The sequence below is a fragment of the Homo sapiens genome, chromosome X, assembly GCF_000001405.40.
Source record: "Homo sapiens chromosome X, GRCh38.p14 Primary Assembly".
Taxonomy (NCBI): domain Eukaryota; kingdom Metazoa; phylum Chordata; class Mammalia; order Primates; family Hominidae; genus Homo; species Homo sapiens.
The window spans coordinates 136,562,256-136,579,875 of NC_000023.11; positions in this window are offsets into that span (position 1 = coordinate 136,562,256).

A 17,620-nucleotide genomic window follows, 5' to 3' on the forward strand; every position below is an offset into this window, starting at 1 on the left:
TATTTTGTGTTTCCATATCATTTGTTTCAAGAATTTTAACATTTCCTTCTTAAGTTCTTCATTTGCCATTTTGTTATTTGTTTTCTGGCTGTTTTGTGGCTTTCTCTCCTTTCTTTCCTTCCTTCCTGTCTTCCTTTCCATGAAAGGTGATTTTCTCTGGTGGTATGATTTAGTTTCTTGCTTTGATTTTTTGTGTATCTATTGTATGTTTTTTGATTTGAGGTTACCATGAGGCTTGCAAATGGTATCTTATGACCCATTATTTTAAGCTAATAACAACACCGTTTGCATAAACACACAAGCAAAACGAAAACTAATAAAAACTCTACAACTTAACTTTGTCCCCTCTGCCCCCTGACCTTTAAACTTTTTGTTGTTTCTATTTATATCTTATTGTATGGTCTATGTTTTCAAAATTTGTTTTAGTTATTATTTTTGTTTGGTTCATTTTTTAGTCTTTCTACTTAAGCTAAGAGTAGTTTGCACACCACAATTACAGTGTTACCATATTCTGTGTTTTTCTGTGTACTTACTATTACCAGTGAGTTTTGTACCTTCAGACTTCTTATTGCTCATTAATGTCTTTTACTTTCTGGTTGAAATACTCCCTTTAGCATTTCTTGCAGGACAGGTCTGGTGTTGATGAAATTCCTCAGCTTTTGTTTGTCTGGGAAATTATTTCTCCTTCATGTTTGAAGGATATTTTCACTGAATATCCTATTCTAGGGTAAAGGTTTTTTCCTTCAGCACTTTAAATATGTCATACTACTCTCTCCTGGCCTGTGAAGTTTCCACTGAAAAGTCTGCTGCCACACATATTGGAGCTCCATTGCATGTTATTTTCTTATTTTCTCTTGCTGCTTTTAGGATCCTCTCTTTATCCTTTACCTTTGGGAGTTTGATTACTAAATGCCTTGAGGTAGTTTTCTTTGTGTTAAATCTGCTTGATGTTCTACAATCTTCTTGTATTTGAATATCATTATCTTTCTTGAGGTTTGGGAAGTTCTTTGTTATTATCCCTTTAAATAAGCTTTCTACCCCATCTCCCTTTCTACCTCCTCTTTAAGGCCAATAACTCTTAGATTAGCCCTTTTGGGGCTATTTTCTAGAACTTGTAGGTATGCTTTATTGTTTTTTATTCTTTTTTCTTTTCTGATTGTGTATTTTCAAAAAGCCTGTCTTCAAGTGCATTAATTCTTTCTTCTGATTGATCAATTCTGCTATTAAAATATTCTGATGCATTCTTCAGTATGCCAATTGCAGTTTTCCGCTCCAGAATTTCTGCTTGATTCTTTTTCATTATTTTAGTCTCTTTGTTAATTTATCTGATAGAATTCTGAATTCCTTCTCTGTGTTATCTTGAATTTCTTTGAGCTTCCTCAAAACAGCTATTTTTGAATTCTCTGTCTGAAAGATCACATATCTCTCTGTTTCTGTAGGATTGATCCGTGGCACCTTATTTAGTTTATTTAGTGAGGTCATGTTTTCCTGGATGGTCCTGGTACTTGTAGATATTCACCTGTGTCTGGGCATTGAAGAGTTAGGCACTTATTGTAGTCTTCACAGTATGGACTTGTTTATATCCATCCATCTTGGGAAGGCTTCCCAGGTATTATACCACAATTGGTATTGTGTTGTGATCTTGGTGTTGTGATCTAGGCCATATCTGCGTTAGGGGCAACTCAAGACCAGTAACACTGTGATTCTTGCAGACTCATAGAGGTATCACCTTGATGACCTTGGATAAAATCCAGAAGAATCGTCTGGATTACCAGGCAAAGACTATTGTTCTCTTTCCTTACTTTCTCTCAAACAAATGGAGTCTCTCTGGTTCTGAGCTGGCTGAGGCTGGAGGTGGAATGACACAAGAACCCCTGTGGCCACCACCATTGGGACTGCACTGGTTCAGACCTGTAGCCAGTACTGCACTGGGTCTTGCCCAAGGCCTGCTGTAACTACTACCTGGCTACTGCCTATGTTCACTCAAAGCCCTGGGGCTCTACAGTCAGCAGGTAGAGAAGTTAGCCAGGCTTGTATCCTTCCCTTCAAGGTGGTGAGTTTCCCTAGGCCCTTGGCAGGTCCAGAGGTGCCATCTGGGAACCCGGGACTTGAATCACAAACCTTAAAAGTCTCCCTAGTGTTCTATTGTACTGTGGCTAAGCTGGTACTCACACTATGAGATGTAGTCCTTCCCACTCTTCCCTCCCCTTTCTACATGCAAAGGAGCCACACCCCATGGCTGCCACCAGCACAGGCCCATGGGGAGTACTGCCAGGTTACCACCGATGTCCTCTTAAGGCCCAAGGGCTCTTCAGTCATCTTGTGGTAAATGCTTCCTGGCCTGGGACTCACTCTTCTGGACAACGGGCTCTCCTCTGGCCCAGGGCAGGTCCAGCAATGCCACCCAAGAGCTAAGGCATAGAATTAGGGACCCCAAGAGCCCACTTGGTGCTCTATGCCCTTGTGGCTGAGCTGTTACCTAAGGTTCAGGACAGAGTCTCCTATACTTTTCCCTCTGCTTTTCTGAAGCAGAAGGAGTCTTACCACATAGCCACCATAGCTTGGAATGTGCTGAGTCTCACTTGAGGCCAGCTAGTTTCAGAATGTCACCCAAGGCCATGGCATCCTACCTGGGTATTGCTGCTGGTTTTCAGGGCCCAAGGGCTTTTTAGTCAGCAGGTGATTGGTCCTGCCAGGACTGGGTCCTTCCCTTCAAGGCAGTGGGTTCTCTTCTGGCCCAGGGTGTGTCTAGAAATGCTGTCTGGGAGCTAGGGCCTGAAAAGAGGGCCTCATGATGCTGAGTAGTGCTCTATCCTGCTGTGGCTGAGTTGGTATCCAAAATGCAAGACAAAGCCCTCTTTACTCTTCCCTCTCCTCTCAAGTGGAAGGAACGTGTCTCTTATGGAGCCATGGGCTATACAGCCTGGGGTTAGGAGAGGAGTAATGCCAGCACTACCTTAGCCACCCCAGGTGGTGTTTCGGTAGATCATGTGTCCTTCACATCCACTGGCTTTGAGCCCAGTTCAGCACTAGGAGTTGCAGTCCTTTTGGCCTAGGCTACCTTTCAAGTTTATTTAGGGTTCCAGAGCCCTTGAGCCTATGGTTGGGAGGCTTGCCAGAACTCAAGTTCCAGTTGCTGGGATAGGTGATTGCCCTCCAGCTAGGGCTGGTTAAATATACCCTCCATGGGCAGTTGTCAGTTGACTTCAGTCTGGTTTTGCTTTCTGCTGTGACAGGGCAGCACAGAGTTCAATCCAATATCTCACAATCCCTGTGCTCTTCCTCTCCCAAGTGCACAGATTCTCTCTCCACCCCACACAGCTGCTCCATGGGGATGGGGAAGGGGTAGCATCAGCGATTCAAGACTGTCTTCCCTACCCTCTTCCAGTGCCTCTTTCAGCGATATGAAGTTAAAACCAGGTACGGTGAGTGCTCGTTTGATTTTTGGTTCTTATGAAGATTTGTATGTGTGTGTATATAGATAGTTGTTAAATTGGTGTCCTTGCAGGGGGTGGGAATGATTGGTGGAGCCTTCTATTCAGCCATCTTTCTCCACCCTCTATCACTATTTGTTTTCTGTTTTTATTTAGATTCAATGGGTACATGTCCAGATTTGTTAAATGGGTATATTGCATGATTTTGAGGCTTGGGCCTCTAATGATTCCATTGCTCAAGTAGTGAACATAGCACCTGATAGGTAGTTTTTCAACCCTTGTTCCTCTCCCTCCTTTCCCTTCTTTGGAATACTCAGTTTTTATTGTTCCTACCTTTGTGTCTGTGTGTAGCCAACATTTAGTTCCCAGTTATAAGTAAGAACATGCCATATTTGGTTTTCTGTTCCTGATAATGGGATAATGGTTTCCAGCTGAATTCATGTTGCTGCATAGGACATGATTTCATTACTTTTTATGGCTGTGTAGTATTCCATGGTTTATATGTACCATATTTTCTTTATCCAATCCACTGTTGATGGGTACCTGGATTGATTTCATGTCTTTGGTATTGTGAATAGTGTTTGGATGAACATATGGGTGCATGTGTCTTTTTGGTAGAACGATTTATTTTCCTTTGGGTATATATCCAGTAATGGGATTGCTGGGTCGAATGGTAGTTCAACCCTTAGTTCTTAGAGAAATCTCCAAACTGCTCTCCACAGTGGCTGACCTAATTTACATTCCCACAAACAGTAAAGACATACACAAACAGTGTATGTATTTATATATTTATAAATTGTCTCAAAGTTCTACTCAAATACGTTTAGTTATATTATTCTTCATTTTAAAGATTCTGTATGCTTAGGAGTAAGTCAATGAGCCTATTTATTATATTTACAGCAGTTATACTTACCTTTTAGTTGAAAGCTGTGACCTTCCACTAATCTTTAAAGATGAGAAGCCTTTTCCTAATGCTACTGAGAACCTGGACTGAGAGTTAGGACAGCTGGGTTCTGGCTCTGGCTCTTCCACTAGCTAGCTGTGTCATCTTGAATCAGTCACAGCCCCTCTTCCCTGTTTCTCCAAGTCTCAGTTTCTGTATGTATAAAATAAGTTGATTCCTAAGGTCATTTTCAACTATGTGAGCCTGTATTTTGAAATAAATGTTGTAGATATGAGAAAACCCATCAACAGTTGCCATATTGTGTCTCGAAGAAGAAGACAGGGTCTGGATAACTGAGGAGCAGAAGAGAGAACTGTGGCAGCCATTGAGGGCGCTGCCAGGAACTCCCTTCAAGAAAGAATTCGCCATTCAGTTGCAAGAAGTGTCGTTAGTTGAGTACTTCCACCTATTAGCACCTTAGGATCTGTTTCAGCTATGCTGTTTGTGGGCTTTCCCAGCCAATGGTTGAGCATTATATGGGTACTAGGGCCTGGCCATTTCTGCCCCAATGTGGGACTGCTCCAAGGGGCAATATTTGTTCCAGAACCCCTACTAATTTGGCTGAACTTTTGTCAGATCTGCATCTTGGTCTGAGTCTCTCCCTGCTCAATTCTTCTTCTTCCTTTTTTCTTTTGCAGGTGTTACTTACCAGGCCCCATAAACCCCTCACACCTTTAACTCCTCAGCTCCTGCTTTCTGGAGGACCTGCTGATACAAGGATATAGCAGCACTTTAAGAGAAAATATAAAGGGAGAAATCCCAAGACTTATTGAATAGATGGTGATTAGACTAGTCTGGCTTAAGCAGAGTATTTGGGTTGATGAACAGTTGAAAATTAAGCTGGCAAGATAGATTAAGCTCAAATTGATGGGTTGAATGACAGTGTCACTTAGGAGGCAGAGTTAAGGTTGGTGCCAGATTGGAGCCCTGGCCAGCCCTAGACACATCTTTAATCACCTACCAAGATCATCTTCCAGACCAGCAAGTGACTGTCTCCATATCAAGAGATGGTTACTGTTGCAGACCTATGTGGTCTATATCAGTGGTTCCCCAAATCCCCACTAGACACATCAGTATCACCTGGGGAGCTTGTTGAAAATAAATGCCCCCTGACTCTTCCCTAGACTACTGAATCAGCATCTCTGTGACCACCCCCTACTCCTGCCATTAGTCACATGTGCAACCAGTTGTATCAGTTTTCTAACCTGCTCTAACAAATTACCACAACCTTGGTGGCTTAAAGCAACACATATTTATTATCTTACAATTCTGGAGATCAGAAATCCTCCTACATGAATCTCACTGAGCTAAAATCAAGGTGACCTCAAGGCTGCATTTCTTCTGGATCCTCTAGGGAGGATTTGTTTCATTACCTTTTCCAGCTTCTAGAGGCTGCCCACATTCCTTGTCTCATGGCCGGCCTCCATCTTCAAAGCCAGAAACGTGCATCTCATTCTTCCATAATCACACCTCCCTAGGAATCACTTATTTTGCCTTCCTCACCCATTTTTTAAAAACCCTTGTAATTACATTGGGCCCCAGAAGATCCTTCTGTTTTAAAGTCAGCAACCTTAATTCCATTTGCACTCTTGGTTCATCTTGCCATGTAACATAACATATTCACGGGTTTTGGGGGGATTAGGATATAGAAATCATTTGGGCTATTCTGCCTACCATATCAGGTTTGGAAACCAGCAATCTATGTGGTATAAATGTTTCTTCCCAAGGCTATCATATCTGAAGACATTTGCTCAGCCAATCTGCATAAATGTATTGACAACCTTTTCCTTTAAATGAAGTGACTACTCTTAAAAGTACACATGCCCTTTGAGCTGACAACTTCACCTCTACAGATGTATCTAAAGAAAATAAATTTGACAAATGCACAAAGATTTAAATACACAGATGTTCAACACTGCAGTGTTTATAATAGTGAAAAATCAAGAACAACGTGAATGTCTAACAGCAGGGCATTCATTAAACAAACTATGTTTCATCCCTCTGATATAATATACAGCCATTAAAAATGATGCTAGAGATCTGTATTTATTCATTAAAATGCAGATTAAGTATAAAAAGTTATATACACATATACTGCACACGCACATGCACTTTAAGCTCATTGTAAAAATATATATATATAATTTGAATAGGTATAATTATTTATTACAGCATTGTTAGTAGCAGCAAAAAAACACTGTAAATGACCCCAATTTTTATCAAAAATAAATTGTCTAAATAAATTATGATACATCTATACAACTGAACACTATGGAGCAGGTAAAAAAAATCAGGTAGATTTGTATACACTGATATGGAAAAACATCTAAGATATATCATTAATTGAGAAAAGCAAGTTATGAAAGTCTATTTAATATTACTGCATTTGTGTTTTTTTTTAAAGGGAGATGTTAATGTGTGTGTGTTTGTGTGTGTGTGGAGTTGTTGTTTTGTGCAATGCTGCACAATTCCAAGGGAGACCATTCACATTCTATCACATGATAGTCTGTGTGGCAAAGACTTTATGAAACACAGGGTGTATGTATGTATATGCATGCATGTACATATGTTTATGTGTGTATACATACACACCATATGTGTATACAGTATATGTGTATAGGAAACTCATAGCTAATTCCAAAAAATCTGTTCACAGTGGTTTCCTTTGGGGAATGTGATTGGGGAGACTGTGTGTGTGTATGTATGTGTGTGTTTGTGTGGTGGTATTGGTCAGGGAAATTTTACTTTCACATTATATCCTTCTGTGCTGTTTAAAATTTTTTACAATCCTGTGTCACTTTCATGAGAATATATATATATATTTGTGTGTGTGTGTGTGTGTGTGTGTGTGTGTGTGTGTGTGTGTGACAGAGTCTTTCTCTGTCGCCCAGGCTCGAGTGAAGTGGCACGATCTCGGCTTACTGCAACCTCCATCTCCTGGGTTCAAGTGATTCTCATCTAAGCCTCTGCAGTAGTTGGGATTACAGGCGCCCGCCACCACACCTGGCTAATTTTGTGTAGTTTTAGTAGAGACAGGGTTTCGTCATATTGCCCAGGCTGGTCTCGAACTCCTAAGCTCAGGCAATCCACCCACCTCAGCCACCCAAAGTGTTAGGATTAACAGGTGGGAACCACTGCACCCAGACGAGAAAATCATTTAAATATGTATCTTATTCAGAAAATGTTTAGAAAAATGAGCAGTGGCTATCTCTAAGTAGTTGTAATAATTGTGAGGCAGTAAAATATGCTCCGTTCTCTCCACGTTTCTCTGATAACCCAGACCACTTCATTTTTCCTGTCCTGTTCCTTTTGTAACACTGGAAGAGAATCATACACTCCTGGGGGCAGCTACAGCCTCAAGAGATTATCTAGGCCAGGCTGCTGCCTTCGTACAGATAAATTATTTAAATGATCCAGGAAAAATCATTGCCTATCAGGAAAATGTCAATAACTTTCTTTGGAAAATACTAACCAAATACTAATTACCTGTATTCAGTGATTATTTTCTTTCTTGATTAGTTATAACTTTTGTAGAAATAAACTTGAATTAAAAAAATTTATTGAGTGTCCATTATGAAGTTATTTTCACATACATTGTCACAATTTAAACCTCACAGTGACCCTGTGCAATTGGCTGATGAGGAAACTGAGGCCCAGGCCTCAAGGAGATGTGTATATACTGCTAAACTGGGGAGAGAAGATGGAACCAACATTTATTTAGCACCTACTATATACTAGTTACAGTATAAAACTTACTTCGTTTTCTCTTAACAGCATATAGAAGTTATTGTTCCCACCTTGCTGATGAGGAAACCGAGGCTGTGAGAGGCTCAGTAACTTCCCCCAAGGTCACACAGCTTGAAACTTGGCAGAGCCAGAATTCCAAGCCAGCTCTTTCCTCCACCCCCTACCCCCATTTTTTGTTTTGTTTTGTTTTTTTAGACAGGTTCTTGCTCTGCAACCCCAGGTTGGAGTGCAGTGGTGCAATCATGGCTCACTGCAGCCTCAATCTCCTGGGCTCAAGCGATCCTCCTGCCTCAGCCTCCCAAGTAGCTGGTACTACAGGTGCATGCTACCATGCTTGGCTATTTTTTAAAAAATTTTTTGTAGAGACAAGGTTTCACTATATTGCACAGGCTCGTCTAGAACTCCTGGGCTCAAGCAATCCTCCTGCCTCTGCCTCCCAAAATGTTGGGATTACAGACATGAGCCACTGTGCCTGGCCCAGCTCTTCCTTTTCTGAGAAAAGTGTTCTCCCCATTGGCTTGATGGGATATCTCTGCAATTTTCCCCTGGGGGGCCTTGAATCCCCTTGATATAATCCTGCAATCTTAAAAAAATCAATTTTTAAATTTCACAGATTACAGAATCCTGTATTTGAGGATCTCAAAACTTCTGCTCCTAAGCCTTGTGAGCAATGATGGTTACAAAAATAAACTCAACTCGGAGATTTTAGTTAACAAAAGATAAAAGCATTGCTATTTCAAAATCATTTTTTTGTCCCTGAGGTGGTGGGCAGGGAAAAAGACAGAGCTGTTTATTTTTGTGGTAATTACTGCTTTGGGTAAAAATACTGACCCGTATAGGAATGTCTGTGAGTGATCCCTTGATATAACCATCAGAGTAGGGAAAGGAAAATGAGGAGCTGCTGTTTAATAAATATAGAGTTTCAGTTTTGCAAGATGAAAACGTTCTGGAGGTCTGTGTTGCATAATAATGTGAATATCCTTAACACTACTTAACTTGACACTTAAAAATAGTTAAGATTGTAAAATGTATTTTTTTTATTTTTTTTTTTAGGAACAGGGTCTTCTCTGTCACCCAGGCTAGAGTGCTGTGATGTGATCATGGCTTACTACAGCCTTGAACCCCTGGGCTCAAGCCATCCTCCTGCCTCAGCCTCCTGAGCTGCTGAGACTACAGGCATGGGTTACCACATCTGGCTAATTTTTTAGTTTTCTGTAGAGATGGGGTCTCACTATGTTGCCCAGACTGGTCTCAAATTCCTGGACTCAAGTGAACCTCCACCTCGGCTTCCCATAGTGATGGAATTACAGGCATGATTTTTTTTTTAAAGACTAGTCAAGTGCAGTAGTGAGAAGGGATGGGTGGAAGTAGAACAAGGAGTTCGATCTGCAATTGTGAACAATCAATTGAGATAACCCACTACCTTCGGACGAGCCAAGATGGCAAATTTTATGTTATGTGTTTGTTACCTCAATTTAAAATTAAAAACAAAATATATTAGAGATTTCTGGGAACTTTTAAACAATGTCCAAGAAAGAGAAATATGAGAAAGAGGGGTGATAAGCATGTTATTTTCTTCATTTTAACAGTCTAAGTTTATTGCTTGCCCTTACCCTTGTAATAAATGAAGATCTAGAATCTTCAAATTTCAGACCTGAATCTATGTCAAGGTGAGGAATCAAGACACAGAGCTCATGGTTATAGCGAAGAGTAAGGGAGCTGACCATTTCTTTGCACCTATAATCTATATGTGAAACAATCCACAATGACCTGAGCCCTGAAGGATTCTCTTAAAGAATTATTAACTTAAAAAATATTTACATGTCAGCTATATTTTGCCATACCACTAGATGGTACAAAAACCTAGTTTTCTGGTAATGATTCACTCATGTTGTGAAGGCAATGGTAGAGTATTTAATGTGAAATACTCTGAATATGTTCTTTGTGATGTTGAAAAGTAAAACATGTTGGAGTAACACCTGGAAAAAGTAGCATTACGCTCTCATTTTCTGTTAGTTTGCTTCCAGCTTGCTAATGACAGAAAAGGCACATTTGGGAAGATAGTTTATACATGTCTTTTAAATCTCCCAACCCTTTGACTGGGATTTTGTATCTCAGATCTAGTTTTGATGGTGATATGTCTACTCTGTCTGGCTTAATCTCAGTAACTTCTAGAATTGTTAAAATTATGGTAGAAACATCTCCAATTTTAGGTCACAAGTGCTTGATACTTTGAGAATATATTGGCTTTTCTGAAAAGAGAAATGCTTTGAAGTTCCAAAAGAGGATGTAGCAGTATTTTGTTTAGATAAAGATCAAAAACAGGTTAAACAAATCCGTGTGTTAAACATCAAGGTTCTAAATGAAATAAAACTAGAATTTTAAAGTAAAAACTAAAAAGACCCTTCAATCTGGAAGTTTTAAAAACTCTTGAGTGAAAGGGGGGAAAATCAGAAATTATAGATTTTCTGAAAAATAATGGTAATGAAAACACTACACATCAGAATTTATGGGATTTAAAGCAGTGGCCAGAGGAAAATTCATAGCCCTGGACATCTACAACAATTAAAGGAATAAAAACAAATGAATTAAATTCTCAACTCAAAAAAAAAAAACTGGAAAAAGAACAAGGCAAACCAAAAGAGAGTACAGCAAAGGACATAACCAAGATAAAAATAAAAGTGGAGGTTTCCTTTGGAGGGAGTGGGCAGTGGCTTGAAAGGAGGCCTTGGGGAGGAGTGCCTCGGCGGTGCTGGTAATGCTCTATATCCTGAGCTGGCTGTTGATTACACAATTGTTTTCACTTTCTCACAATCCACTGAGCTGGAATTCACTCTCTCTAGAGAAAGAAAGTTTAAAAGGGCACAAATATTAAGTGGCCATCTCAGTGAATATATATATGTATAATATATAATATTATGTGTATAGTATATAATATTATATATTATATAATATATTATATACATATACATATTATATGTATATATATACACATATATACATGTAAATATATACATATATACATGTATATATATACATATTATATATAAATATATAATATGTATAATATATAATATATAATATATTTTTTAAAATTTTTTTAACAGAGAAGACCGTTTCTAAAAAAATTAAAAAATTATACATTATATATTATATATTATAAATATTAATAATATATATTATATATTATAATATATTATATAATAAATATATATTACATTATATATTTTATATAATTTTATATTATATATTTATATATTATATATTATTTATATTATATTATATGTTTTATATATATTATATATATTCTCTCTATATATATTCTCTATATATAGAGAGGGAGGGAGGGAGGGAGATATTTACATTTTTATGGGTACATAGTAAGCATATGTATTTATGGGGTATGTAAGATGGGGTACATAAGATATTTTGATATAGGCATGCAATGTGAAATAAGCACATCATGGAGAATGGCATGGTACTGGCATAAAAACAGACACATAGACCAATGGAACAGAATAGAGAACCCAGAAACAAATCCACACACCTACAGGGAACTCATTTTCAACAAAGGTGCCAAGAACATACGCTGTGACCTTTTAAACTTCATTGAAGAATTTCCCCAAAAAGAGAAACTGTAATTTTATTATTCTGTTTCCCCCAGTACATTGTTCTCCCTCTGATGCTTAGCACAGTATCTTTCACAGAGCAGGCACTCAATAAATGTGGAATTGCCTTTAATGGCTTTATATGTTTCACCATTGAACCTGCCATTATTGGAATGTGAGGCCATAGATAATGAGAGTAATAGTAATGGTTTAAACACATACAGCACTTTATAATTCAAAGCTCTGAATCCCTGACTTTCATGTAAGTGGAACAGGTTGCCTGGATCCATTAATTATGTGGACCAGATGTACATGTGGAGGTCTCCTGACCTGGAAATGGTGGCTATTCCAGTGATAACGACAAAGTAGGGTAACAACATACTATACTCATCTAGGTTGACCATCCATCCTGGTTTGCATGGGACTACCCCGCTTTTAGCATTAAAAGTCCCATGTCCCAGGAAATTCCTCGTTCCCAGGCAAACCAGGACAGCTGGTCACATTATATCACTTTATGTGCATGATCTCATTAGCCTTCACAATAACCTTATCAGGGAGGGACTATTATTATTTTTATTTTACTGATGAGAAACTGGAGGCTCAGAGGGGTGAAGTCACCTGTGTAAGGTCATGCAGCTAGAAAGTAGTGGAGTCTCGACTTTAGCCCTCTTTGGACTGAATCCAAAGTCAACATTCTTTCCACTCTTCTGCAGCTGCAGAGAGCCAAAAGAGATAGACGACGGCAGTCAGTGGGGACTGAATTACTGAAGTTATCCTATTGGAAAGGACATTCTTCAACTTGTCCAGAGAATGACAGAGAGATTCAAGACCAGCTGGGAGAAGTGCAAATTGGGATAGCTCCCTTGGCCCAGAGCCAAAAGCTATGGTTTAGTGCAGTCATTCTGGACAAGGGGTTGATTAAAACCTTCAAATATGAACAAATGTTGCAGAGTTCTCCCTAGGTAGAGAAGCAAATCCCAATGACCTATTAAATTCATTAGCAAAGAGCTAAATTCCCTGAGGACTTGGAGCAGCTCCTCTGAGTACAGTTTCTAGATAACTTACCAAGCAGGGTGGCCAACTCCACCCAGAGTGGAAATTCAGAATCACAGTTACGGTTTGAGATAATTGATGTCAGTTTTTTCCAAATGACCCACAAAGACTGTTTTCTGATCTTTCAAGTTCATTAAGTCCAGGTTCCTATTATAGACCCAAAGATTCAGGAGGAAATGCAGGGTTGGAAGCTCCAGGATGGAACTTTCAGGAAGCACCTGGACAGAAATAGCGAAAGATGAACATGATAACAAGTAAACAAAGGGCACAGAAGCAGCAATGCCTTCCCAAACCAGCGAAAGAGCATAGAAAATTATATTCAAGAGCTGCCCTGGTGGGATATTCTGAGGTGTGCAATAAGCACATCATTTGAACCTCATTAGTTTCCCAGAAGCACAGCTGGGAATATCTCAACTCTCCATTAATGCAATTTAGCGTGTCCTACCTAAGTGCTCTGCCCCCTGGCAGGTAGAGCAAATCTCAGTATTAACATGCGTGTTCATATCACTGACATTAAGTTTCATTTCACCCTCAAAAGCCAAAGGACGATCAGTCTTCGATATTCTGTTAGCTAATCCCATAACATATAATCATGCAGAAGGTTTCAGAAATTCAGGTGTGCTTTCCTGCTTATAAGCCAACACACTTTGTGACACAAATAATAACAAATAATCAACAGATATTTTAACCAGGCAGAAGTCCATCCAATGGATTATTCAGCCTTGGTTATTATTCTCTGTTACCTGAAGCTGATGGAGTTGGTAATTCTGAATAAACTGAAGAGCACCATTGTCACCCACTTCCTAAAGGAAAGTACCAGCTTTCAGAAGGACAATGCCCATGTCTGAGCCATCTCTGTATTTTATCATGCCTAGCACAGCAACCTAGTTCAGTAAATTTTTTCCCCAAAAAATAAATGAATGAAAATAGCATTGTGTCACTGACCAATTGATATTACTCTTGGCCAACAAATAAAACAAATGAACTTTACAGATTGTTTTTGGACCTTCTCAAGACTGGAATAGCTAACCTCCTCTGATATCCCATGACGCCATGGGCTTCCCCTATCTCCTTGACACCAAGTCACAGCACAGGTCACTTTGTGTTTATCCCAGGTGACTATTTCTTTGTCTGTCTTCCCCACTAGACTATGAGCTAGGTCTGCCGTGATCATCACTGCATCCCCAATGCTATGTTTGTGAATGACTGGTTGCATGAAATATTAATTCTACTCTATGTTCCAGAAGCACTAGTTTGAGGCTAAGGAATAATCAATTTACCACTCTTTCCCCAGGTGCCCTTGCTCATCCAACTGTGTGACCTTGGGTAAACAGCTCAGCTTCCTGGGAGCCAGTGTCAGTTAGAGTAGTGGGCTCGGGGATGGACCTGCAAGGGGGTGCAGGGCATTCCCTGATACTAGGGCTCTGAGGAGGGACCTAAGGCTGGAGGCAAGAGTAGATTGCTCCTCCTGAACAAAGTTGAAAGGGGGAGGCTTGGTTTTCTGGTGATAAGGTATAGAGCCTTTGGCTTCAGATAGATGAAGGCTTAAGGTATATCTCCAGCACTTATGACTAACTTTGGACAATTAACCCCATCCCTCTGAGCTTTATTTCTTTATCACGGCTCATTTTGGCATCTTACCCTAACCATTGTGTATCCTCAAGGTGAATTCATAATTTTGTGTGCATGCGTATTTGGAATTTTAAAATAATATTTGAACAATAAAGGCTACCATTTACTGAGCACTCAACATGTGGTGGGCTCTGGGCTAAGTGCCTTAGATACATCATCTCATTATATCAGCAAAATAACCCTTGGAGGCAAGAATTAGTGTGCTATTTGACAGATAAAGAAATTAATTCTTGGAGTGGTTTAGTAAGTGGTCCAGCCCATGCAGCTGGGTAAGTTGAAGAACAGGGATGCAAGCCTGGTTTTGTCTGACTCCAAAATCTCATCCTCTTAACTGGTACACTAACTGCTGTAATTAAAAGATATTAAAACGGAAACATGTAAAAGCCAAAGTACAAAGTAAATAAATAGAAGAGCTTTTGCTTTCTGTTGAAGGGCCATTAGTTCCAGGCCCATTCTGATGTCAAATGGAAAAAATAATAAGGTTGGTCCATCAGTTAGCAGAAACAAACAGACCACTTTTCCAGTATGCTGGTCCTTTCTCCCCATTACTAGCTAAAATGATTACCATCCACTCAACCACTTTAATGACTCCTGACTCAGAGCTTTCATTTGGCTCTCTTTTTACCCATAAGATATCAAAATATTATGTAGCTAAAAAGTTCTCTCTGAAAGAACTTTGCAAACTTTTTTTTTAAAGCAGAAGTCATCAGTTATCAGTCTTCTAAAGCCAGGAATTCTTTCAAAATTCTATAAGATCTTTTGTCAAATGAATTTAGCTCTGAATGAAGGAAATACTAAGCGCCCTTCACACTGTCCTTCCCCGGAGAGTTTCAGACCTCATGGACGCTGTGTAACATTGGGAATGACTTTGGTGACTAAAACTGGTCCTGTTGCCCTAGTTTCAGGACAAAATTTGCAAACTGCTTAGGTGTCAGGGGAAGCACATTTTAGTCAAACCAAGCACAATTTCCATCCTGTTAGAGACAAGCCAATTACTGTGCCAGGTTAGAGAAGAAAGGAGACAGGCCACAGGCACAGAGGCTTGCATCGTCTATGCACAGGTCTATGCTTTGGGGGCTCTGCTGCTCTCTGCTGGCCACAGGCTGTTGCTGTAGTCGCCGAGGAAGTGATTCATTCAAAGTGCTGCTTCTGGGGTTTCTCCTACTATTGTCACTACCACTAAATAGTACCTTTTATTGAGTGCCCTTTCGGTGCCAGGTTCTGAGCTAGGTGCCACGTTCTGAGCTAGGTGCCACGGAGTCAGAGATGACAAGTTTTGGTCCTCATCCTTGGCAAGCTCAGTCTAGTGGGGAAGATAGATTCTCAAACAGAGAATTATAATAAAGTGCAGCAAATGCCGAAAGAGAGTGTGAGAAAAATCCTTGCTTTCCCTCAATCAGCAGTACTGAGTTCCTACTCTGTGTCAACTGTCTAGTGAGGTTCTGGGAAAATAAGCACAGAACTTTATAGGTGTAGCTGTCCACTCAGTACATGTCTCATCTCATTTCATCATCACAACAAATCCGTGAGGTTTACAGGGCAGATAGTAATAGCCCTATTATATAGATTAGGAAGCTGAGACTCAGAGAGGTTGCATGAGTTGCCAAATGTAACACAGCTAGGTGCTAGGTTATAGAGGCTTGGACTCGATGGACTTCAAATTCACTCTCTTTACTGCTGCACCACACTGCTTGGTGCTGCTTACTGAGAGGTTGGTAGGGTAATGGTTAAGACTAAGTGCTCCTAGAGTCAGGCTGCCTGGGTCCACTCTGACTGTACCACTCTCTTGCATCAGGCAAATTACTTAGCTTCTCTGTGCCTCATTTTCTCCATCTTTTAAATGAGAAGAATAACAGTACTTAACTTACGAGATTATTTTGAGGACCAAATAAGTAAATGCTTATGTCAGTCATATAATAAACAATAAATGTCAGCTCTTTTATTATTATTATTATAAAGATGGGGGTCTCACTATGCTGCCCAGGCTGGCCTTGAACTACTGGGCTCAAACTACCCTCCCACCTCAGCCTCCCAAAATGCTGGGATTACAGGCATTAGCCACTGCACCCAGCGGTCAGCTGTTAATATTACTGTCAACACGTGAGGCAGAACAACTTGGGGCAAGTAGGAAGAAGAGATGTAGATCAAGGAAGGTGCTAAGTGCTGCTAAAGTAACATCTGATTAGTTATTCTTGCTTGATTAACAGGAAAAACCCTTCCAGCTCTCTATACAGAGTCCACTCTGATAGCTCATTTTTCCAGTCCTCCAGGGACAGCCCCTCTTCTCCTTGTCTCCAAGAGTACCCGCACAAGTAATGGGGCTACAGAAAGTGGAAGAACTAATTCTGCCCTGGATAGGTGACCTCTGCCTTTGTAGGGTTGGGGGCAGAATAAAACTGTCAGAAGGACCAGGATTTGTAAAAGCGTCTATTGTAGAGGATTTATAATTGAATGAGTCATCTTATCCATATCTTTAAAACAGGGCCAGTATGGGTTAGTACTAGAAATATGAGCAGAGACTTAATTATATAGTGATATTTAAATTGGATCTTCCTTCTATGTCAATACTCTGGGATGCCATGGCAATCCCCTTCTCCCACTTGGCTGCTTTTCCTCAATTCGCTCTGACAGCTCCTCTTTTGGCTCCTCCATGAGCTCTTCTACCACCCCTTAAATGCTAGTGTTCCCCAGGGATCTTTGCTTGGCCTCCAGTCCTCACACACTACACTCTTTTTCTATGTAATTGCATCATTTCCCACAACATAAATGACCATCTATTTCCAAGTTGATAACTCCAAAATCTCTGTCTCCTGCCAAGACATCTGCCCAAGCTCCAACCTCATAATCTACCTGTCTGCTAGATATCAGCACCTAGAGGCCCCACAGGCAACAGTCCCTGCCAAATGTGTTTCTTCACTTGTGTTCTCTACATTATTTTCTGACATCAGCATTAACCTAGCCAGTCAACGTAGGCACTTGGAAGTCATTCTTTTTTATTGAGATATCACATACCATAATATTTGCCTTTTTAAACTGTACAATTCAGTGCTTTTTAGTAAATTTACAAAGTTTCTCAACCAGTCCCACAATCTTGTTTTAGGACATTTCATCACACCCGAAAAAGTTCTGCTTGTCCATTAACAGTCACTCCCCATCGTCCCCTCTCCCAGTCTCTGGAAACAATGAATCTGTGTTCTGTCTCC